Source organism: Homo sapiens, chromosome 4 (genome assembly GCF_000001405.40).
Source record: "Homo sapiens chromosome 4, GRCh38.p14 Primary Assembly".
NCBI classification, from domain to species: Eukaryota; Metazoa; Chordata; class Mammalia; order Primates; family Hominidae; genus Homo; species Homo sapiens.
In genome coordinates this window covers 130623897-130648732 of record NC_000004.12, presented here as the reverse complement: position 1 = coordinate 130648732, position 24836 = coordinate 130623897, and the positions used below count along the sequence as shown (strand labels likewise).

The following is a 24836-nucleotide window of genomic DNA, read 5'->3' as shown; positions in this document are numbered from 1 at the left end:
TCCTTGCTTTAGGTCTAGCAATGTTTGTTTTATGAGTATGAGTGTTCCAGTGTTGGGTGCGCATATTTTAGAATTATTATATTTTCTTGTTGAATTTATCCATTTTCATTATATTATGGTCTTCTTTGTCTTTTATTGCTGCTTCTGATTTAAATTCTGTTTTGTATGATACAAATATAGCTACTTCTGCCTGCTTTTAGTTTCAGTTTATGTGGAATATCGTTTTCCACCCCTTCATCTCCAATATGTGTCTTTACTAGCAAGGTGAATTTCTTTTAAGTAGCATAAAGTTTATTCATTTTAAAAAAATCTATTTTGCTAATCTATACATTTTAAGTGGAGCATTTAATACATTTATTTTCAAGTTTAATATTGACATATGAGGTTTTGTTTCTGTTATTCTATTATTAGCTCTCTGCTTTGTATATTCTTTATTTTCATTTGTTTTTTCTCTGTCTTTGTGGATTAGTGGAATTCTATCATGTTGCCATTTGGTTTTTTTCCCTTCCTCTGAGTAATTGTTTTGTATTATCTGTAAGTTTTATACTTTTTTTTTATTATGACAAGTATCAACCTTTCATATTCATGTTTAGGACTATTCAGAGCATTTCTTGTAGGGCTGGTCTAGTGGTGATGAATTTTCTCAGCATTTGGTTCCCTGAAAAATAAAAAAAAACAACTTCATTTCTCCTTCATTTATGGAGCTTATTGCAGCCTGATACAAAGTTCATGGATTTCATTTTATTTCTTTAGGTCTTTTGAAAATAGAATCCCAATCTCTTCTGGCTATTAAAGTTTATTTTGTGAGAAGTGCACTGTTAGTTTTATAGAGTTTACCTTACAGGTGAATTAAAGCTTTTCTATTGCTGATTTTGGTATGTTTTTCCCATGTTCAACTTCTGAGATTTTAACTTCTGCTTAGTCTAGTCTGTTTTTGAAGTTTTCAAGTGTATTTTGTCATCTTGTCAATATGTATTTAATTTCCAAACTTTCTGTTTTTTTTAAGATTATCTCTGGTGAATTTCTCATTCATATCTCAAATAAATTTTCTGCTTTATTTGTATTCATTTTCAGATTGTCTATCTTATTGAGCTTCTTAAAAATTAGTATTTTAAATTTTTTTCTACATTTTGATGATTTCCTTTATTTGGCTTGATTGCTAAGAATTACTGTGTTCCTCTGGGAGTGTCATAGTACCTCATTTTTCTTACTTCCAGTATTATTGCACTGATTTCCTTACATCTGGAGTTAACAGTTGCTTTTTCTTATGTTTAAATTTACTTTTGTTGGGGTAGAACTTTTATTTTTCCCTGAAAATGTGTCTATAATGTATGTTGAATAGGGTCATTTGGCTTTGCTTCTAGGTGTGTTCAGTGGCATAGACTCTGTTTGATTTCTTTGGTTATAAACAGCCTTAGTAAGGTGGCTTTCTCAAATGCCACTTGTAATGGCAATGTATATACCAGGCAAGTACCATGTTCAAGGCCTTCTAGGTAGCCAAGGTGATTTGGGCAATGGTGGTAGCAGAGGTCTCATAAAGTTTGTATCCCTCCTGAGTGCTGTATAAGATCAGCAAATGGTCTATGCAAGTCAATCTCCAGGCCAGTAATTAGCACTTGCAAATGAGAGCCAGCTGTGGTGGTGGCAGTAGGGCTTATGCTTGAATTACTTCTTTTTAACCAGTAGAAGTACTTGGGTGTTCCAGGTGACAGGCTTGGCATTGAAACTCTCTGTGGTCCCAGTCTTGTGTTCTGCCTCCAGGGTAGGAGAGGGAGCAAAGCCAGGCAGAGCTAGAATGGACAAGCCTGTACTTGAGCCCCCAGTGTCAGGTGCAAGTGCCAGCATTGATAGGAGCTAGAAGGCAGTTCTCAGACCCATGGAGCAATGCTCCATGGACGAGTAAAGCAACCATTGCTGTGCCAAAGAGATAGCACAGAGAAAGAGGGGAAACATGCACTCCACAGCCTAGCAGGTCATAGTGGGACCTGTATTACTCTCATGCACTTGATCCACCAGTGCTCTCTTCTGTGGCAGAAAATTGGGACAGCCAGCTGGTCACAAACAGTTTGTCTTCAAACTACTACACCACTCCAGGCTATAAAATTTGCTGCTGTGTTGGAACCATGGCTTTAGTGCCAAATCCCTCCTGATTTAGTCCTGAAAAGGCAGGGGGTTGCATCCAACTCTGATGCCCATGACTGGCCTCCATGTCATACTTGCCTCTCAGTTTGGCTGTGGGAGCTTCTTGCCTACTTGAGACTATATCACAAATCCTAATCTCATGACTCTCTAAACCAGTGACTGTCTCCTATGCTGGCTGGCAGGTTACCCTGTGCCTCACTGTGAGTTAGGATAAGGAAGGGGTTTTTATTGGTGCTGGGGTCTGGGAGTGTGCACCAACCACTTCCTGCTGCCATTCGTTTTCACAGTCTTCCAAGTGTTCTCCAAGTCAGAGCCAGGGCTTGGTACAGTCAAGGTTTTCCACCATGGCCTGGATTGTCTGGTTCCCTGTGCAAATATGTATCATGCAGACACACTCTTTTCCTCTTAAACTCCAAGTTTTCCACTGAACCTGCCACACTGGATGCTGCCCACCTTATTTTTCAAACATCTGAAGTTTCTTTCACTTTTATATTGAACTCCGAGGTTCCCTCTTGGATGAAAGTTCACATTATCAATTGCTACACTCTATTTTTCTCTTTCCAAGTGGATGAGATGCAGTAATAAAGCCTCTAATCTACCGAGAAATATATACACAGGCTTATATATGCAGTAGAAAAATGATTTGGCTGTTTGGTCTGGAGCCTGAAATAAAAAATACAAAAGTGATTAAAAGATTCAGTTCTGAGATACTGATATCTCAGGAGGATGTGTTTACAGGAGGAGATGTAAATGTGATGAACTTTGTATTGCACTTTAATGCCCATAGGTGAACATCTATTATGGGTAACCCCCAAAATAACCATGTAGACAGAAATATGTGGCCAGGTGATTCCATCCACAATTGTTATTGGTCACTCTATTATTTGCACAGCGGTTACAAGAACAGAGTAGCAATAATGGCAGGGATAGAAGCAAGAGATGGGTACAATGACATGGTCTCAGTCACAAAGGCTAACCTAGCTTTCTGCTATTGCTGAATTTCCACATTTTCAGAAAAAGAGATCAGTGTTGACTCCAATACACATTTATTCCTCAAAGAGACAAACTATTAACTAATTGACAATTTAAATACATGAATGACTTCTTATTCTGAAAGGGATAAAGATTAATGTTGTTTAATATCTGCACATGTTCCATATATAGGTTTTCATTTCCTGTCCTTAGAGTCTTGATCAGAACATCTATCTGAATACTTACAGAGGCATGATCCACCAATGTAGAATCACACATAAAATTATCTTGGAACAAGATACTCACTCTACACAGAAGGAGCTATAGCAGTGAAAACATGGCTGTAGGATCTACCAAACCTATCATTTAGAGTACAATGTATTACCAGCCTAATAAAGTTATAAAAAAGCTTTTTTAAAATTTTTTGAGTCACGGTTTCACTCTGTCACCTAGGCTGAAATGCAGTGGCACAATCACAGTTCACTGCAGCCTCAACCTCCCAAGCTCAAGCAGTCCTCCCACCTCAGCCTTCCAAGTAGCTAGAACCACAGTCATGTACTACCATGCCTGACTAATTTTTTGTAGAGATGAAGTCTCACTATGTTGTCCAGGCTAGACTAGAACTCCTGGGCTCAAGTGATCCTCCCACCTTAGCTTCCCCAAGTGCTGGGGTTACAGGCATGAGTCACTGCACATAGCCGCAAATCACTTTTTGAATACTTAACAATGTTGTATCTTCCTGAATTCTAGTCTGCAAGAATGTTGTATAAGTTCACAAGATGCATATATACTTTAAATTAATAATCATTATGTGGTACTATGTACCCAATATACAAAATACATTGGTTAAGTATGGGAGGCCAGAGGTTGCTGTCAGCAGAGATTGTGCCACTGCACTCTAGCCTGGGTGACAGAGTGAGACTCTGTCTTAAGGAAAAAAAAAAAAAAAAGAATACATTGGTTCAGAAACCAAGCATATCATAGGAATGGCTCTTCTTATCAATCTTTCCCACCTTCCTATAATAAGCATAATACATTTATGCTTTATTTCTTAAGAAATTTAGACTCTTATACACCAAGAACAGACAAACAGAGAGCCAAATCATGAGTGAACTCCCATTCACAATTGCTTCAAAGAGAATAAAATACCTGGGAATCCAACTTACAAAGGACGTGAAGGACCTCTTCAAGGAGAACTACAGATCACTGCTCAATGAAATAAAAGAGGATACAAACAAATGGAAGAACATTCCATGCTCATGGGTAGGAAGAATCAATATCGTGAAAATGGCCATACTGCCCAAGGTAATTTATAGATTCAATGCCATCCCCATCAAGCTACCAATGACTTTCTTCACAGAATTGGAAAAAACTACTTTAAAGTTCATATGGAACCAAAAAAGAGCCCACATTGCCAAGTCAATCTTAAGCCAAAAGAACAAAGCTAGAGGCATCACACTACCTGACTTCAAACTATACTACAAGGCTGCAGTAAACAAAACAGCATGGTACTGGTACCAAAACAGAGATATAGACCAATGGAACAGAACAGAGCCCTCAGAAATAATGCCTCATATCTACAACCATCTGATCTTTGACAAACCTGACAAAAACAAGAAATGGGGAAAGGATTCCCTATTTAATAAATGGTGCTGGGAAAACTGGCTAGCCATATGGAGAAAGCTGAAACTGCATCCCTTCCTTACATTTAATACAAAAATTAATTCAAGATGGATTAAAGACTTAAACATTAGACCTAAAACCATAAAAACCCTAGAAGAAAACCTAGGCAATACCATTCAGGACATAGGCATGGGCAAGGACTTCATGTCTAACACACCAAAAGCAATGGCAACAAAAGCCAAAATTGACAAATGGGATCTAATTAAACTAAAGAGCTTCTGCACAGCAAAAGAAACTACCATCAGAGTGAACAGGCAACCTACAGAATGAGAGAAAATTTTTGCAATCTACTCATCTGACAAAGGGCTAATATCCAGAATCTACAATGAACTCCAACAAATTTACAAGAATAAAACAACCCCATCAAAAAGTGGGCGAAGGATATGAACGGACACTTCTCAAAAGAAGATATTTATGCAGCCAAAAGACACATGAAAAAATGCTCATCATCACTGGCTATCAGAGAAATGCAAATCAAAACCACAATGAGATACCATCTCACACCAGTTAGAATGGCAATCATTAAAAAGTCAGGAAACAACAGGTGCTGGAGAGGATGTGGAGAAATAGGAACACTTCTACACTGTTGGTGGGACTGTAAACTAGTTCAACCATTGTGGAAGTCAGTGTGGCAATTCCTCAGGGATAGGAATACCATTTGACCCAGCCATCCCATTACTGGGTATATACCCAAAGGATGATAAATCATGCTGCTATAAAGACACATGCACACGTATGTTTATTGTGGCACTATTCACAATAGCAAAGACTTGGAACCAAGCCAAATGTCCAACAATGATAGACTGGATTAAGAAAATGTGGCACATATACACCATGGAAAACTATGCAGCCATAAATAATGATGCGTTCATGTCCTTTTTAGGGACATGGATGAAGCTGGAAACCATCATTCTCAGGAAACTATCGCAAGGACAAAAAAACCAAACACTGCATGTTCTCACTCATAGGTGGGAATTAAACTATGAGAACACATGGACACAGGAAGGGGAACATCACACACTGGGACCTGTTGTTGGGTGGGAGGAGGGGGAAGGATAGCATTTGGAGATATACTTAATGTTAAATGACGAGTTACTGGGTGCAGCACACCAACATGGCACATGTATACATATGTAACTAACCTGCACGTTGTGCACATGTACCCTAAAACTTAAAGTATAATAATAAAAAAATAAGAGAAATTTAGACTCTGTGTGGATAGATCCAGGTTCTTCTGGGAGAAGCTCTTCCAACATGGGATAAAAATCTCAACTTTAAGCTCTACCTGCCACCAAATTACTTTGAGTTCCTCATATCAAGAGAACACTAGGCAAAAAAAAAAAAAGACTCACCATCCCGACAGAGCTAATTGGCACTCATGATCACGAGGAGACAATGCTGGGTTTTTGCAAAGAATGCAGGAAATAAAATGTTTGGCCTCAGGTAGTCTACTTGGGGATATCTTTTATTACTCCCTACCTAATCTTGATAAAAAGTGGCCAGTATGTGCATTGTGTACAGGATTGATGTTTTGGGACACTAACCTTATACTTGGAGTTTTTTTCTAAACCAATCTGCTAACTACAGTCTGACCAGTATGGCCTGAATCTTCCCTTCAGCTTGACTGAAATTTAGACAGGCTTCTTCTTGACTACAGGCCCCTGGCCTCCTTTTTTACAGTATTTACTTTAAAAAACTTAAAATTGCAAATTATTTCTCTGCCCCTGTGAGTGTAAATATTTTCTCAGCTTCTTGCCATTTTTACCACCCAGGAAGTTCTTTCTCAAAAATCTGGGATCCATCTCTTTGAAATGTAATCATCAAGAAAGATAAGACCTCTGTCTCTCAGTTTCTATGAGTAGGTAGGAGCCTAACTTTGATAAAAGACAATTAATATATACAGATAGCCTAATCACATTGACTAGTCTTCCCCCTTAGATCCTCTAATATTTTTGCACTAGCTCACACCAGCATTTGAAAATCTTTTCTTTTCTTTCAGTTGAGTTGAATTTCTCTCCCCTGTGGCAATAGCCTTAACTCCCCTTGCAATCGTTTTGGGTAGTCTTCCTTGCCATTTTTAAAAAGTGTTTGGTGCAATTTTTCTTGGACAAGTCCTGGAGAAGCATATTCTACATGGGTTGAACTTATACTAAAAAGCAAGTGAATGTGAGTGGCACAAGTGGTTGACAGTAATGGATATTGTAGGGCAGCATGTATATCTGCCTTTTCAATAGGCACTTCCTGGTGTTGACTGCTGATTGCTCATAGAGGCACCTGTCTCTGAGACACACCTTCATCCGAATGTAGCTGCCTCCTGTGTCTAATAACTGACCAATGAGAAGTTACATATCCCAGCTTCTTTGTTGTAATTTGGGACAAGTCTGAAGGGCCACTCTAAATCCGGAGCTCCTTTATTGCAATTGTATTATGTTTAAACGTCTCTCTCTGGGTATATACTTCTTTTTTTTCCACTCTCTTACAGGTATTACTCCTAAGGGCACTTCCCAGCAAAACTCTAATATGCAAATTTCTGTCTCAGAGTTTGTTAACAGAGATCACAATTTAAGAAATTCTTCATATGCAGGCATTCTTTAAAGATGTCTATTTTTACTATTTTTACAATGTTAAACTTCACCCCAGCTGTGAACCTGGATTACGTAACTTATTTTCTTTATGGAGGAAACAGTGTTTCATATTAAAAATGCCAACATAACTACTCAAATAGAAGTTTTATTTACTGGGTTATATTTGTCTTCTTAATTTTACATTGACAACAGATTTGACCAATAGTTTTGTTAGTGATAGAATATTTTTATAAAAGCACTGTTACACTTAATATTTATTTAGGTCTTTCCCAGTTTTGTTATCTGCCATGTATATGTTTTTAACATTTTTGAAAACTATAAAATGTAATAATAAGTTATACAGTCTTTATTAATATTCTAGGAAAGGTCGTTTTCCACTGCATATTTTCAAACTACTGATTTTACTAATTCTCATGTTTTGTACATTTTTATTCAAATTGTTTTAATTTTTTATACACTCAGACATCTTATTTGTTATCATGTAACTGTTTGAGAGTGTTTATTTACTTATGCTTGCTTGGCAGCAATGCCAATTTTCTTCTCACTGGGTTGATTTTGTATGAGGTGCTCTACTATAAAAGCAGCTGACAAGCTGTCTTGGTGCTCTGAAATTGCCTAGTCTCATAGCTTTTCTTTTCTGTCTAACATCAGATTATGCATGAAAATTAGTAGTCTTTGTCTCTTCATTGTTTTTGTCTTGGTGATTATTTTTCCTAGAACAGGAAATTTGATGGAATCATTTAGAGTTTAGGAGTATCGTAAATATTTACCTATGTGTTTATTTTCATGTTGCCTGTTATAATATAACCAATGATCCAAAGGACCCTGTGTTTCAAAAATTTTCTATAATAAATCTATCAATGTTCAGGACATTGTTCATAGCAAATACTCCAGATCTTTAACAAATGCATTCTTGGACAGACATGAGCTCTATAAATATTAAAATTTTCTATATTAAATTTATTATAATTTTTAAAAAATACTTGACACTCAATTTTATTACTAAAAATTGTCCTCTGGGGTGACAGCAGTTATTTGTTCTCACCCTCTGCCCAGAATCCCTGGGAGTGTTTCTGTTATTGTGGAGGTAATAGGAGATCTGGGGACAGGGTGGGACATACCATGAAGACTGGGTGGTCACAGCACACACACACGCACACACACACTCTTACACACACACACACACACATGCACACACACACCCTACAACTACAGCTACCAAAATAACCAGCATGGTGTTGGAACATTTCCCCAGTGGAGGCTAGAATTACCCGTGGTGACCTGTGACCTGCTCCCTGAGACAGGGATGGCCAGGCAGGTTGTGGGGGGGAGGCAGGAGGGCATTTCTCCTATTTAAATTGTCTGTAATAAATCTATCAACATGCAGGACACAGTACACAGTAAGTACTCCAGATCATTAACAAATGCTTGCTTGGACAGAAATGAACTCTATAAATATTGGCACAGCACTACAATATATTTTAATCTCTTAACGCACACAATTATACTTAGAACTGTATTTGTGGTTTGGTAAAAATTTATCTGACAATTCTGATGCTACTTAGCGTTCATCAAGGCTTAGAAATCAAAAGCTTGAATATTACATTGAAATACTTTCTAGAGCTCAAACATAAATGCTTAAGAAACAGCTCTGCAAAAACAATCTAATTTCGAATCTAGTTTCTGATAAGACCCATTTTCCGAGAAGCTCTCCTGCTTTGCTAAAATGTATGATTCTTGGCTTACACAAACACCCAAAGAGAGAGAGAGAGCTATAATGGGCACATTTTAGCCTCTGGTTTTCTTTTTCCAGAATCTCACCTGAAGCTCAAATACATTATCAAATAGATTTGGCAACAATAATACTCCAGTGACTGATAGCAAACTCTCTTAATGTCAAAAGTCATTCAATTTTTCTATAAGGAAGAATAAAGCCATACCTAAACATATTAAAATATTATTCACTTTGACAATAGAAGTAGTTCCAAGACATGAACTATTGCTATATTAGAAAGGAGAAGCAATCAGTATTTTTATCACCTAAGAATCTCTATACCACAAAAAAATCCATCATTTCTAATGAAATTGGTAAGTACCTAGGAGGCAAATGTCTTTTTTTATTTCTAGTCTGAAAACTGGTTTAAAAAGAGCAGATGTAGTTAACTCAGATTCCCATTAATGAGAAAAACTTACCTAATAGTGAGTATATTTATCAAATCTTTAAAAAAAATTAAATTTTCATTAAGATTTCAAGGACTATTATTGTTTTATTTTAACTAGATCTGTAGACTATTCTTAATATTAAAACTGGGTATAATAACACATTTACTTTTATTTAAATTATATGGATTATTCAGTAAAAAATATTACTTAGACTTATTTGTCTAAAAGATAGTTATATTTTTGAATTTATATATAGGGTTTTTAAAAATAAATTACAAAGATCACCTTCGATTCCTGCTTACAAATGATTATCTAGTACAATTTATACTTTACTTAGTGTGTAACTGGTTTATCATTAGCCGTGGTATTAATTACAGATCATATTTTTTGGTGAATTTAAATATTCTTTTAACAAAAGCAAATGAAGCCACATGTGTGTAACTTTTTTATTTAAAGATATTTATGGCCGGGCGCGGTGGCTTACACCTGTAATCCCAGCTCTTTGGGAGTTGAAGTGGGCAGATCGCCTGACGTCAAGAGTTCAAGACCAGCCTGGCCAACATGGTGAAACCCCATCTCTACTAAGAATATGAAAATTAGCCTAGCGTGATGGTAGGCACCTGTAATCCCAGCTACTCAGGAAGCTGAGGCAGAAGAATCCCTTGAACTCAGGAGATGGAGGTTTCAGGGAGCCGAGATCGCGGCAATGCACTCCAGCCTAGGCAACAGAGCAAGACTCTACCTCAAAAAAAAAAAAAAAAAAAAGGAAAAGGAAAAGATATTTACTAGAGATTATCTGTAACTATCCCCTTCCATGGTAACTTGGGCACAACTGGAAATTACATTAACACTTTCCGGCTGATAATATCATTAAGGAGTAATTTCCAAAATAAAAATTGTCCCTAAGTATTGTTTTAAACAGTAAAGTTAGTGAAGAGTAAAACTATATATATCATTAAAACAAATTGCATTTAAAATGAATAAAAATGTAACAAGTTATAATTTTTCAGGAAAGTAAATTGGCTACACATTTTTACTTCATAAAGCTAGGCTTTAGTAGCTGTAGTTTTTCTTCATAACACTTATTTCAATTTTAAATTATACATTTATCTGTGTAATTATTTGATTAATGTGATTATTTGATTAGTGGCATTAATCTGTCTCATTAAGGAGATTATTTCTGACAGAAATAATCTGTCTCATTAAGGAGAAAACTTCATGAGATATAAGAGCCTATCCATATTGTTCTCTATTTGTCCTCCAAATTTCTCTTCCTGGCACATGGAATTAATTTATTTATTAAATAAATTAAAATAAATTAATAACAGAATCTGAAAAACTGACTGTCATGAAATTTTTTTTTATATGACCAGGAACTGGACCAATAGAAACAAATACAAAACATAACAAATGACCATATGAGTTTAATGACAATATGATGCACAATTTTATGTGCAACCTTATGCTTTAGGATATTCTGACACTAGACAATTTCAAATATGATGGATAGATAGACAGATGGATATACAAATATTGATATGTTGACATTTCTGGATTTAACTTTTCTAATTTTAGAGGTAAATTTGAAATCAGAATTATCTGGCTTTCTAATCTTTCTATAATAATTACTAGCAATTTATAACAGAAATTTGTATTGTCTCAATTAGATTTTGCTTTATAAACATAATCATTTTTTGTAAGATTTCAAAATGTATTTGATAATACATAGCTAGAAAATAGTGAGGCTGTGGCAAATCTTTTTTTCCCCCACATATTTGATAAGGCTTAAAACATGCAATTGGGGCAAAGTTTGAAGCTATTAAAACTAAAAAAATTATAAAATTGTTATATAAACATAATTGTCCCAGATGACCTCTGAAATGTAACTGTTTTTCAGTCATTAAAAAGTTATATTACATTCCCATAAGAACCAACATTTTATATAATGATATAGTTTACAACTGATATTTTTGAAAACATATATAGATATAATTTACATTACTACATGACTTATGAATTCATTAAGCTAAATTGTAGAGATCAATAGATACAAATTTTCTACTTTTTTTCCCTGAACATATACTACTTTCTTCATTAATTTTTACAGTGTTTTCTAATACATTTATCTGAGATTATAGCATATCTGCATAATGTAATCAAGTTGTACATCATGATGTTATGGATGTATATCAAATTTTTGTTTGATTATCATGCATTTTTATAGATTATTTTTATTTGTTGCATAAGTAATATTAGCACTTAGAAGAGATTTCTTCTCGTAAGTATATGTATTAATCTTTTTGGACCACCATAACTGAATATCATAGACTGGGTGACTTAAACAGCAGAAACTCATTTGTTCTAAGTTCTGGGGGTTAGAAGTCCAATACCAAGCCGCTGGAAAATGTAGTTTCTGGTGAAACTTCCCTTTCTGGCTTGCTGATGACCCCTTCTCGTTGTGTTCTCACGTGGCCTTTCCTTTGGCACACACGTGAAGGGAGGGAGAGAGAGAGAGAGAGAGAGAGAGAGAAAGAGCGAGCTAGAGAGAGACAAAGAGAAAGAGCAAGCTCTGGTTCCTCTTCCTCTCTTATAAAGACTTTGGTATTATTGGATTAGGGCTTCAATCTCAGGACCTCATTTAACCTAATTACCTCCTTAATGGCTCTATCTACAAATATAGTCATGTTGGAGGATAAGGCTTCAAGCTATGAAATTGGAGGGAGAAACAATTCAGTTCATAACAATATGCATTCCCTTTTATCCCCCTATCAGTTGTTTGTAAAGATTTGAAATGTTTTTTTTTTCTTTTGTTTTCTTACTGCTGTTTAGGTTAGGTTTTTGTGGCTGTTTGAGTGTGTAAGCTACAGCCACCTAGGTATAGCCATTGACCTATAAAAAGTATGTACAAAATGTTTTTCATAGTAGACAACAAGCTTACATAACTTTAACTAGTTTGTATATTTTTTTCTAAATATCAAAATATAGTTTAAACGGTTTTTTGCTGATTTCATGACTAATAACTTTTCAATGTGAAAATATGAACACAATCTAACTTTTCATTTAACTAAGCCATTGCTATGGTAATATATCAGAAAATATAATCAACAGCACTTTTAAAGTCATTTCAGCATTTCTCATTAAATGGGATAGTACAATGTATTTCTAAGTCTATTCAGTTATTAATAGATCAACTGCAATTTTTCCTCTGCTGTGAGGCAAATGGCAAAGAGGAATCACAGAGATTTAGCAATATTTCTAGTATGACACAAGATTAAAATATCAATACAACTTCTAACACTGTATTTTCACATTAAATGAAATGCTAAAGTTTCGATTCTTAGATTATCTCCTGCCAGTAATTGTGCCAGATTGCATTCTGATAATTTTCTACCATTGCAAATAAATATTATCAGTTAAAGTTGCTTCAAATTTCAAACAGAGCTATGTGACTATGGTTGTTTACCAGATGTCACAGGATGTCACAATGCCTATCTCTTATAACTCTCTTATTGATATTATGATGTTTATCATTTAAGTCAATATATTATGCTTTCTGGCAGCTGGGCCTGACTTGTGTACCGTTTTTTTTTTTTTTTTTCTGGCTAGACTTTTCTTATGGCAATACAAAAGAAGCATATGTAATTTTACCAGATATTTTATTAATATACTAATCATATATATAAACTATGGAATTATAAAAAAACTTATTTAGTTTTATACTATATTTTATACCACATGCAATCAATCTTTTGATAATGACAGGATTAAAACACAATTAAGTCAAATACTATTATAAAAGTCTTAAAGTTGGAATGGACTTTAAATGTCATTTATTGAAATATTTTATCCCATGTACAATAATGAACACCCAGAGTATGATGTGATGGAATAGATAATGAACTAGAAATCCAGTAACCTGAATTTTAATTTCTTCTCTACAACAGATTAAAAGTAAGAATTTGGGCAAAACTGTTAATCTCATTGAACCTCAGTAACCTCATTTATTATTAGTGTTACCCAGTTTTCTGAGTCTTAGTTATCCACAAATTCTGTGAGCATGATCTCTCTCTGTTCATCCAATCAGTGATGTACTTTTGAAACAGGGCACTGATTCAAGAGTAGTCTGTCTTTCCTTCACTGTTCCAGTCTCTTTACTAAGGATCTACTTTTTTCCTCCTCACCAAGGGCCTCTAATTATCATCACACCTTGGGTTCTGCTTGGGAGGACCTTTTGAGGTCTAAGAGTTATTTGGTACTGAGTCATTTTTAATGTTATATTTTGTGAGAACAGAATTCAGACTAACAATATAGGATGTGTATGCGTATGTGTGCATACCCAAGTTCATATGGTATCAATATCCTCTTATCAATTGGTCATTAATGGGAAAGTGATGTAGATTGTTAACTGCAAGGATTTTATATGTATTAGCTAAGACAATTTTTCAGAAATAAAAATAAATGACATTTTTTCTCAGTGTTTTAATTTTTGGAAACTGAGGCACAGGATATTTATAGTAACTATTAGAACATAAATAATTTTATGCTCCAATTTGGTCAATGGTCACACTGTTTACTAAAGACAGGACCCCGATCCCTTTTAGCTTGCAGGGTTTCTGCTAAGAAATCTGCTATTAATCTGATGGGTTTTTCTTTATAGGTTACCTGACACTTTTGCCTCACAGCTCTTGTTTCCTTCATCTTGACTTTAGGTAACGTGATGACTATGTGCCTAGGTGATCATCTTTTTGTGATGAATTTCCCAGGTGTTCTTTGAGCTTTTTGTGTTTGGATGTCTAGATCTATAGCAAGGCCAGGGAAATTTTCCTGGATTATTCCCTCAAATACACTTTCCACGCTTTTAGATTTCTCTTTTTCCTTAGGAACACCAATTATTCTTAGATCTGGTTGCTTAACATAATCCCAAACTTTTTGGAGGCTTTATTTTTTTAGTTCTTTTTTCTTTGTCTTTGTTGGATTGGGTTTATTTGAAAGCCTTGTCTTCGAGCTCTGAATTTCTTTCTTCTACTTGTTTGATTCTATTGCTGAGACTTTCCAGTGCATTTTGCAATTCTCTAAGTGTGTCTTTCATTTCCATAAGTTGTGATTGTTTTTTATTTATGCTATACATTTCACTGGGGATTTTTTCATTCATATCATGTTTCTTTTTTTTTAAATTTATTTAAGTTGGACTTCATCTTTCTCTGGTGCCTCCTTGATTGGCTTAATAGTTGACCTTCTGAATTCTTTTTCTGGCAATTCAGGGATTCTGTCTTGGTTTTAATCCACTGCTGGTGAGTTAGTGTGATCTTTTAGGGGTGATAAGGACCCTTGTTTTGTCATATTAGCAGAATTGATTTTCTAGTTCCTTCTCATTTGGATAGACTATGTTAGGGAAGATCCGGGACTCAAAGGCTGCAGTTTAGATTGTTTTGTCCCACAGGGTGCTCCCTTGATGTAACGCTCTCCTCTTTCCCCTAGCAAATGGAGCTTCCTGAGGGGTGAACTACAGTGGCTGCTGTTTCTCTTCTGAATCTAGACACCCTGCAGAGCTACTGGACTCCTGGCTGGTATTGGGGAGTGTCTTCTAAGAGTCCTGTGATGTGATTTGTCTTCAGGTCTCTTCTGAGCCATGGATACCAGCACCTGCTCTGGTGGAGACAGCAGGGGAGTGAAGTGGACTCTGCGAAGGTTCTTGGATGTATTTTTGTTAACTGCGCTGGTTTTGTGTTGGTTGACCTCCAGCCAGGAGGTGGCGATTTCAAGAGCACATCAGTTGCAGTAGTATAGGGAGGGTCAGGCAGTGGGCAAGGCCATAGAGCTCCCAAGAGATTATGTTGTTTATCTTCAGCTACCAGGGCAGGTAGAGAAAACCATCAGGTGGGGGCGGGGTTAGGCTTATCTGAGCTCAGACTCTCCTTGAGGAGGGCTTGTTGAGGCTGCTGTGGGAGAAAAGGGTGTAGTTCCCAGGCCAGTGGAGCTATGTCCCCAGGGGTATTAGGGCTGCCTCTGCTGTGTCACACGGGTAACCAGGGAAGGGAGATAAAGCTGGCAGCCGTAGGCCTTATCCAGCTCCCATGCAGCCCATAGCCCAAAAGATTGGTCTCACTCCCACTGTGCCCCCCTCAACAGCAGCAAGTTCACTTCCAGGCAGCCGTTGAGCAGCGCTGAAAAATTGTTCCCAGCTACATGCCTCCCAGCTGAGAAAACAAGCCGACTCACCGTTCCTCTGTTGTCCCACAGAGCCTGCAGTGGCAATCCACCACCTTCAAAGGGTTTGTGTGGTCACAGCTTTCTGGTATGTTCCTGTGGTTGTTGGTGCAAAAGTTCACGATGTGGGTGCCTACACACTGTCGTCTGAGTCAGAGCTGAAAGTTAGTCCTGCCTCCTGTCCGCCATTTTCCTGCACTGTCCCATATTAACTTTTATGGAAGCAGTCTTCCTATAGTCCTTTTTAGCCAATTCAGGTAAAACACAGTTGTTATCTATCTGAAAGAAAATTGTTTTCTTATAATTTACTATTATGCATAACTAAGTATATTTCTCTTAAATAAACTACATTGGAATTAAATTCATGCTTCTATAATGAGATTAATATAAGATTAAATGTATTTCTTAATTAATGGATTAAGAAAATTGTCTAGATTTTCTCTCTTTTTTGGTGGTAAGAGCACCTGAAATCTATTATCTTCGCAAATTTTCAGTATACAGTACATATTAACTATACTTATGCTGTACAATACATACCTAGACTTATTCATACTGCATAACTACAATTAACAGAAGTGATGATTATACAACCTATTTAGGGAAGGTCATTTAGTCAATCTATTTAATGCTTTTATATATGTATATATACACACACAGACACATATACATGAACACATATATATATATTCACACACATATGTGTTTTAGATTTATATATAAACACATAGGTGTATATGTGTGTGTATATATACATCTAAGACTAGATTTATGGGAATAGAGCATATTTAAGATTAATGGAAATAATGCACAGATAATATGAGTTGACATATACTCCATACCCAGTTTCCCTTATGCTTAACAGCTTACCAGAGTGTGATACATTTATCAGAACAAATCAGTCATTATTGATACACCAGTATCATTAACTTAAATCTACACTTTGAGATTGACTTAGTTTTCATGTAATTCATTTTACCTATTCCTGGATCTCAACTAGGTTACTGTGTGACATTTAGTCATCATATGTGGTTAAGTTTCTCTACGCTATGACAATTTCTCAGACATTCATTACTTTTGATGATCTTGACAATTTTGAGGAATACTGGTCAGGTACTTTGTCAAATTCCTCTCAATTGGATTTTTTCTGATGTTTTTCTGATGATTAGAATGGAGTTGTGTATTTTGGGGAGGAACACCACAGACATAAATTGCCATTCTTGTTTCTTCATTACAAGGGTACATACTATCAACTGTTGATGTTACCATTGTTGATGATAACCATGATCACCTACCTGGCTAAGGTAGTGTTTGTCAGGTTTAATACTCTAAGGCTACTTTTTTTCCCTCTCTTCACACTGTACTCCATTTAAGAAGTAACTGTGTGAGGTATACATGTAAGGAATAAGGAGTTATGTTTCATCTTTCCTGATGGGGAGTATTTCTACAGGGTATCTGGAATTCTTCTGCACAGGTATTGGCCTATTTGCCCCATTTATTTATTTATTCAACAATATATTTATATCAGTATGGACTTATGAGTATTTTATAATATGAGTTATTATTTAATACTGCTTTATTATTTTATGTCTCAATTTGTTCTAGCTTTGGCCTCTGGGAGCTCTTTCAGTTGTTTATATATCCCTTCACCTTTGCATGTGTGTGTGTGTGAACATATTACTTCCTTACTTTCTGGAACTACAGAATGTCACAAACTCATATTGCAAATTCCTTTCCCTGAAATTCACCCTTTCTTTAGGAAGACACAGTTCTTTTATTGAAGAGTCATATTCGAATTCGAATTAGAAACCAATGTCTGCACAATTTCAGTGCCCAGATCCTGGTTTCGAATTCCAATTCGAATATGCCTGGGATGTTATTATTTCAGATATCTTAGCTATCTGAGCAAGGAAATAGATGTGTTTATACACAGAGGTATACATATTTCTGTATGTATCTATCTGCAACTGCATTAAGCAATTCATTAGTTCATACTGGTCTCCCCAGCTCCACTGCAGTACCATACAGATCATTCTAGCATTCCTGCCTTGTATATAATACCCCACTCCAACAGTGAGAAACATACGTTTCTCTGCTATTGACTTATTTGTCAAGTTTTCCAAAACAAATGAACAAAATACGTCTGGTAGCATCAGAATTCTGTCCTGTGTAGATAACTACTTTATTTTTTTATTTATTTTTTATTTTATTTTATTTTATTATTATTATACTTTAAGTTTTAGGGTACATGTGCACAATGTGCAGGTTAGTTACATATGTATACATGTGCCATGCTGGTGTGCTGCACCCATTAACTCGTCATTTAGCATTAGGTATAACTCCTAATGCTATCCCTCCCCCTTCCCCCGACCCCACAACAGTCCCCAGAGTGTGATGTTCCACCTCCTGTGTCCATGTGTTCTCATTGTTCAATTCCCACCCGTGAGTGAGAAATATGCGGTGTTTGGTTTTTTGTTCTTGCGATAGTTTACTGAGAATGATGATTTCCAATTTCATCCATGTCCCTACAAATGAAGGAAAAAATGTACATAACTACTTTAAAGCTATAAAACAGTGCATATGTACAGTTTCTATTGCCTTCAGTCATACAGTCTCTCCTCATTTCCAGACTTACTCAGGATTGCACTTTCTCTGCTTAATTCCATTGCTGCGTTATTTGTATGTGGTAATATAGTTAGATTGTTTTGTCAAAGGCTGCATTCCTATTGTTGAGTGTTCAGAGTTCTTTGTACATTTGGGGTACAAGTTCTTCATCCAATGCGTGGTTTGCAAATATTTTCTCTAAGTGAATTATCTGACATTTCTTTCTCTTAACAGTGTCTTTAGCTGTGTTCCACAAATTTGGATAAGTTGCATTTTTATTTTCATTTAGTTCAAATTAATTTTTTAATTTCACTTGAGACTTTTTCTTCAGTCTATGTGTTATTTAGAAGTATAAAGTTTAATTTTCAAATACTTGAGAATATTTCTGATATTGTCATTATACTTTATAAGGAAGCTTTATTATAAAACCATCAAACTAAAATCTGTCTTTACAGCTGAGGCCAAGGTGATTATTCCAAGCTCCTTTCTACCACATGATTTTAGCCAAGGTATATACATTCTCTCATCATTCATTTATATCTTTGAAATGTAATTGAATGGTACAATCTTAAGACATTTTCACAAATTATTAGCAATTATATTTTTACATTTTTTTCTTAATAATTGGTTCCCACTCTGCCTCCAAATCTAATACTCATGATATGCCAAATTACTATGTCTGGCCTTTGCTTGCTTTCTATATCTCCCAACGAAGCTATATAGCTGAACAAGTATAACACAAGCCTCTTTGGTAAAAATGTTGTCACTTTTACTTTCTATTGTTTATAAGAACATCTCAGAGGTTTCTTCAGGGAGAAAGGTAAATGTGTCAACTGTACTAGCTGACCATTCCTATTCAGCATAACAGACCATTTAATTGTACACGATATACTACAGGAGATTTTATTTTTTTAATGATTTTTACCACTAAATGTGAAATAGTAAAAGCAAAAGGAAAGGAAAAGAGGACAAAAAAATTAAATGTAAATTAAAAAATTAAAAGGAAAGAGAAGAGAAAAGGAAATAAATAAAGGAAAAGGTTACATTACACTTTGCCTTCCTGCTTCAATATTTTACGGTCCTATCATAATTTTTAAGTGCTAGGTATCCTTAGGCTTAGGGCAAGATGCAATAAAAAAGAGCAAGATACCTTAAAATTAAAATTGTTTCCATTAAATATTTGCAAGTTTTTTTCACATTTTAAAATTCTGTTTTCTAATTTATTTTAAAAAGATAAATTTTCTATAGGATTATGCTTTGATAAAAACCAAACTGATGAACTAGCTAGACAATAAATATTCAGTCTCTTTAATGTAGTGTAGAGAATATTGGACCTGTATCAAAATGTCTGGCTTAGACTCATGGCATTCCCACTTAACTACAGTCTAATTTTGAATAATTTAGTCAACTTTCTTAGCCCAGGTTCATTATTTGTCAAATTTGAATGACCCTACAAAATCTATGTCATTTTATTTTGAATCCTTACCAAATAACCCTTAAAATAATGTGTGTTAACATACTTTATTCAGTGTGATGTGCTATATAAATGCAACATATCATTAAAACAAAGCCATAATCTCAGCTATGTACATGAACTTATTATGCCCTAATATATTTTTGGTCATAAGCCTACTTTACTTTCAAACATAAATTATAGCTCACACGTAATAGTTTAGACATGAATTTTGTGGTCATTCCAAATATTCATTTTATAAAAATAAACTTTCTACGTGATGACATTTCTTATCAAATATGCACATACTTAAATTAGTTTTATATTTTAATTTAGTAGTAATTGCCAAATCACTTGAAAGATTGAGAAATCTGGCCACTAACTATGCACACAAATCTTTATTGTCCTTCAACGTTCCCGTCGCCTGTGCACCTAAGTGAATTCTTTCATTAATTTATTTAATATGATTTCTGGCAAGTTAATTTTAGATCCTTAGTAATATAATTAATAAGTTGTTTGCTGACTACTTTAAATTATCTTAATCTTTGTTGATTTGAATTATAAATTTATCAGGTGAATTGGAAATTATAACTAAACTTTTGTTATCTTTAGTAGATCTGAACAGATAAAACAGAGTTAAACTTGATGCAACTCTTCTGAGAGTGATAATTATTTTTTATAATAGTAAAAGACACCATCCAATTTAATTACTTTTTACAATTTCATACTTTATCTTATCCAATTATGAAGCTCTCAGAGTCATTCTCTATAAAGTTGGTATAATAATTTCTTATTGTGGTGACTCTTTAAAACAGTGTCTATAGAGAATCTAATACAGTAACTACATAATACATTGTAACAGAGAATGAATACCTCAGCTATTTAGACAACTAAATTGATTAATCTAGATAAATTTTTTTAAAAAATAAAACTCTTCCTGAAGACATTGATTCTAATTTTCTAGTTTTCAATATTTAATACAGAAATATGACTGCTATACTTTACTTTAGTAAAATTATGGCAGCAAGATTTTTGGAACTGTTCAAAAGTTTGGCAAGAATGCAGTAATGTATAAATGACTTAAAAAATTAGCTTTTTCAATAGAAACTACAAAATATAGACTTATAAACATATATGCCATGAATTAATATTACATTTATCCTATAGGGATTTTTCATTTTCCACATTTTTAGTACATACTCAAAAATATATGAAACACATATTTTTATATTACAATGTAAGTGATAATATAAAGCACAAAAATAAAAGCATATTTATATATTCAATTATTTGAGAAAATATATTAAAATATCCTCCTATTCAGTATATATTAGATAGTAAGTTATCTTTAGTCAAACCTGTGTCAAATACAAGAGAGTTATCAGTAACCTTGATAGAGATGTAGAAAGCCACTTGCAAAGTAAAATGATTTCTGTATTTCCTTTTCTGGAAGCTGCAAGTACACCATGTTATCAGTATATAAATGAGCAGTGTGGTCAATAGTACTGTTTATTCCAGATGCATCCTCTACTGTCTGTCACAGCTGTATCTTCCCTGTGGATGGAGTATACTTCTCTGCCTTATAAACATTGGGTTTGTATAGGGAGTTCTTTGTCCATTAGAATGTAAGCATAAGTGACAGCACCATTTCTGAGCACAAGTCTTAAGAGGCTTAGAGAGTTCCACAAATCCTCTTTATCCCCTGCCATCCATTATGAAAAGACCATATCATAAGGATCCATTGACTCTTTAGCATGGGTCAACAAATGAGACAGGTAAAGTCTTGAACACAAACTGTGGTCTGTAGTCTGAAGACAAGGTGAGTTGACCCCACAGGCACCTTAAAGCCTCATAACTCCCAGCCTAGTAAGCAAGAAAGCAATAAGCTTGCTGAAATCCCCTGATTTGAGGGTTGCTAATTATGCAACATTATCACTGCAAAATCTCATATAGATATTATTTTGTAAGTTAAGAACATGACAAGAGAGATGTTTCTTGGAGAATCTGGCTGTTTTAGTGAACTCATACATCAGCATTGTAATAGGAGAGAATCACCATTGATTATAGCAGTAGTTCTCAATGTGACTGCATATTAAAATTAACCAATAAACTAGGGTGATTTAAAATAAATCTGTGTTTCACAACCATCCTCACAAGTTTTGAGTTAATTGGTCTGAATGGCATTAAGGTATTGTTGTTGTTGCTGCAGGTGGTGGTGGTAACTCAGATGCCTTTACTAGTCAAGCAGGATTGGGAATTCCTGGCCTATGATGTGTGCCCTCAGATCTACAGAACTATACATTCATTTTTATTAATGGATGCTGAATTTACTGGTAATTATTTTTATCAGCCAAATTCCTGAGAAATATATATATATATATATAGACCAAAATTAATTTATTAATTTTCAATATAAAAATTGTATACCAATTGGATTAGCTTTATTGCCTTTATGAGCTTTATGGCCAGTCACTTTAATTCTTGTCTTACTGGCCCAGTTGTCACCTACCTGCTTGTCCCAACTCCAAGTAAGTGTACTTTTTGATTTCTCCATTTACACAAATTAAACAATAATCTTCTAATTGAATGTACTATTAATGCAAAATTATCTTGAATGGCTCTTTTTGGTTTCATTGTGAATACGTTAAAGGCCTAAGTGTAATTTATTTTAACTATTTTTCAACTTTTGATGAGAAGGAAAAATAGAAACTCAGGAATTTTGATGCCAGGTGTCTGTCGAATAATTGAAAACTATTGTGGTAAGCATCTAGAGCCATAAAAATGTGTGAGCATCAGAATTCTAGAAAACAAATGTTCCAAAAATAGTGGGAATCTTAGAATTTTCACTTGAATATTACATTCTTAATGAGGAGGCTTACCCTACCCATTTTAGCTAAAATTGTAAGCCTTTTCCTCCTTTTCTCCCTTTCCTTGCTTTATTTTTATAATTAACACATACTTTTCCTCTTCTAACAAACATAATCAAAAACTTTAAATATGCCTTCCCTTTTGGTTTTCATTTGCACCTCAAAAATGTAATGGCTTTACACAGCAACAATCACTTATTATTTCTTATGATACTAAGTGTTGACAAGAAAGTCATTCTTCTCTGTGTAGTCTTGGCTGGAGCTACAATCATGTAGCGGCTCAACCAGCTAAAACATTAAGGTGATTCCTTTGCAAAACTGGCGATTGTTGACAGCCAGTTGGGAGCTCAGCTGAAGCTTTCCAGTAGAGTATCTCCATAGTCTTCTACCTTGACATCTCCTGTTGGATGAGGTTTTGCCCCAGTTGCTGATATCTTATTGGCCCAGTATCAGAAATTAGACAATGTCATTTTCTCCACATTATTTTAATTAAAGCAAGTCACAGGGTGATACGGTTTGTCTGTGTCCCCACCTAAATCTCATCTTGAATTGTAGCTTCCATAATCCCCATGTGTCATGGGAGGAACCTTGTGGGAGATAAATGAATTATGGGGGCAGGTCTTTCCTGTGCTGTTCTCATGATAATGAATAAGTCTCATGACGTCTGATGGTTTTATAAAGGACAGTTCCCCTGCACACACTCTTGCCTACCACCATGTAAGATGTTCCTTTGCTCTTCCTTCGTCTTCCACTGTAATAGTGAGGTCTCCCCAGCCATGTGGCAAATGTGAGTCCATTAAACCTCTTTCCTTTATAAATTACTCAGTCTAAGGTATGTCTTTATTAGCTGAGTGAGAACAAACTAATACACAGGGCCTACTCAGATTCAAAAGACAGAGAATAATATTCATCTGTTTATGAGAGTAGTGGCAGAGAATTTCCAGGAATATTTAATCCATTGCATTTACTGATTATATTTCAATTTTACTAGAATCTAAGCTTTAAGAAAAAATAATCTTGTCTGTTTCATTGACTGTTGCCTTGGAAGAAGGAATAAGAGACGCTTAATGAATACTTTCTTGAATTGATTTTTAACATATACAACTAATCTGAGCATTAGTATTGAAATTACTGTCTGATTTTCAGAGTTATAATAATTCACTCTCACATTTAAGTCCCAAGTAAGGTTACAATTTATATAATATAATCTATGGATAAGAAAATCCATGTGTGGTAGGCAGACTTTGAGAAATTACAGAGAGCCACAGTCTAAAATGAAGTTTTGTCTTTGTATTGTCAATTAAAATAGTATGCAAAAATAAGTTAATTGGGTAAACAAGACTGGAGGAACCCTGGTTAATTTGATCAAGAAAGTAAACAGTTCATGAAACAATAAAAAGTTCTGGAGTCATTGAGAGCATTATTAATGTGCAAGTGTGAACTAAAACTAACTGTAGATTTTCTTAAGCAAGCACATAAAATCTCAAAAAAGAGTTTTAAAACTTGCATTTTTGAAGATTTAAATAAACCAAAAGTGATTATTATTTTTCATTTTTATAAATTGTTATACATTTCCCTGTGATATGTATATAAGCAATAAATATATGATTCTTTGGTTTATGGAGTTATGAAAGTCATCTTCTATAATTGTGTAATGTCTAACTTTTGAGGTGTGTGTTGGTAAATAGCCCAGAATTTAAATAAACACTTAGCATTCATCATCTTAAGAAATAGGATCTTTGATTTATAAATATATTCATAAAGCAAAGCTGCAAAAGTCATGGCTGAGTAATTTAAAAAGGTGTTTGTTCTCTCTTTATTGAATACCATATGCCATATAGACAAAATTCCCATGATTGCATATTTCAATTTTCATGAGAATATAAACAAAGAGAGATAATTAAATGTAATTGATCATTTTATATAACATTACTACCACTTGCCACAAACAATGCTGTGGAAAAAGAGGCAAACTTCTTCCAAAAAATGAGTAGATACATACAATTCATATATAAAGGCAAAAATGACATTTCCAATTTTTTTAAATAAGGAAACTGTACTACTACACTGTGAAGCAGTATGGTGTTATTTTTTTTTTAACTTTTAACTTGGGGGGTACATGTATAGGTTTGTTACACAGGTAAACATGTGTCATGGGGGATT

At 34.7% G+C, this 24836-nt stretch overlaps 3 annotated features.

Annotated features, from left to right (window-relative positions):
* Positions 1900 to 2400: an enhancer, noted in NCBI's record as "H3K27ac hESC enhancer chr4:131567488-131567988 (GRCh37/hg19 assembly coordinates)". NCBI's record gives its function as "activates a minimal SCP1, AML or CMV promoter by ChIP-STARR-seq in naive H9 embryonic stem cells {active_cell/tissue: H9 hESC(naive)}" and the evidence as "EXISTENCE:reporter gene assay evidence [ECO:0000049][PMID:30033119]".
* Positions 15101 to 16300: an enhancer, noted in NCBI's record as "P300/CBP strongly-dependent group 1 enhancer chr4:131553588-131554787 (GRCh37/hg19 assembly coordinates)". NCBI's record gives its function as "activates an origin of replication core promoter dependent on BRD2, BRD4, P300/CBP, MED14 and CDK7 cofactors, with strong dependence on P300/CBP, by STARR-seq in HCT116 cells {active_cell/tissue: HCT116}" and the evidence as "EXISTENCE:reporter gene assay evidence [ECO:0000049][PMID:35650434]".
* Positions 15827 to 15996: an enhancer, noted in NCBI's record as "experimental_74598 CRE fragment used in MPRA reporter constructs". NCBI's record gives its function as "activates a minimal promoter by MPRAs in K562 erythroleukemia cells, with activity observed for both the introgressed and non-introgressed 4:131553977 variant alleles {active_cell/tissue: K562}" and the evidence as "EXISTENCE:reporter gene assay evidence [ECO:0000049][PMID:34662402]".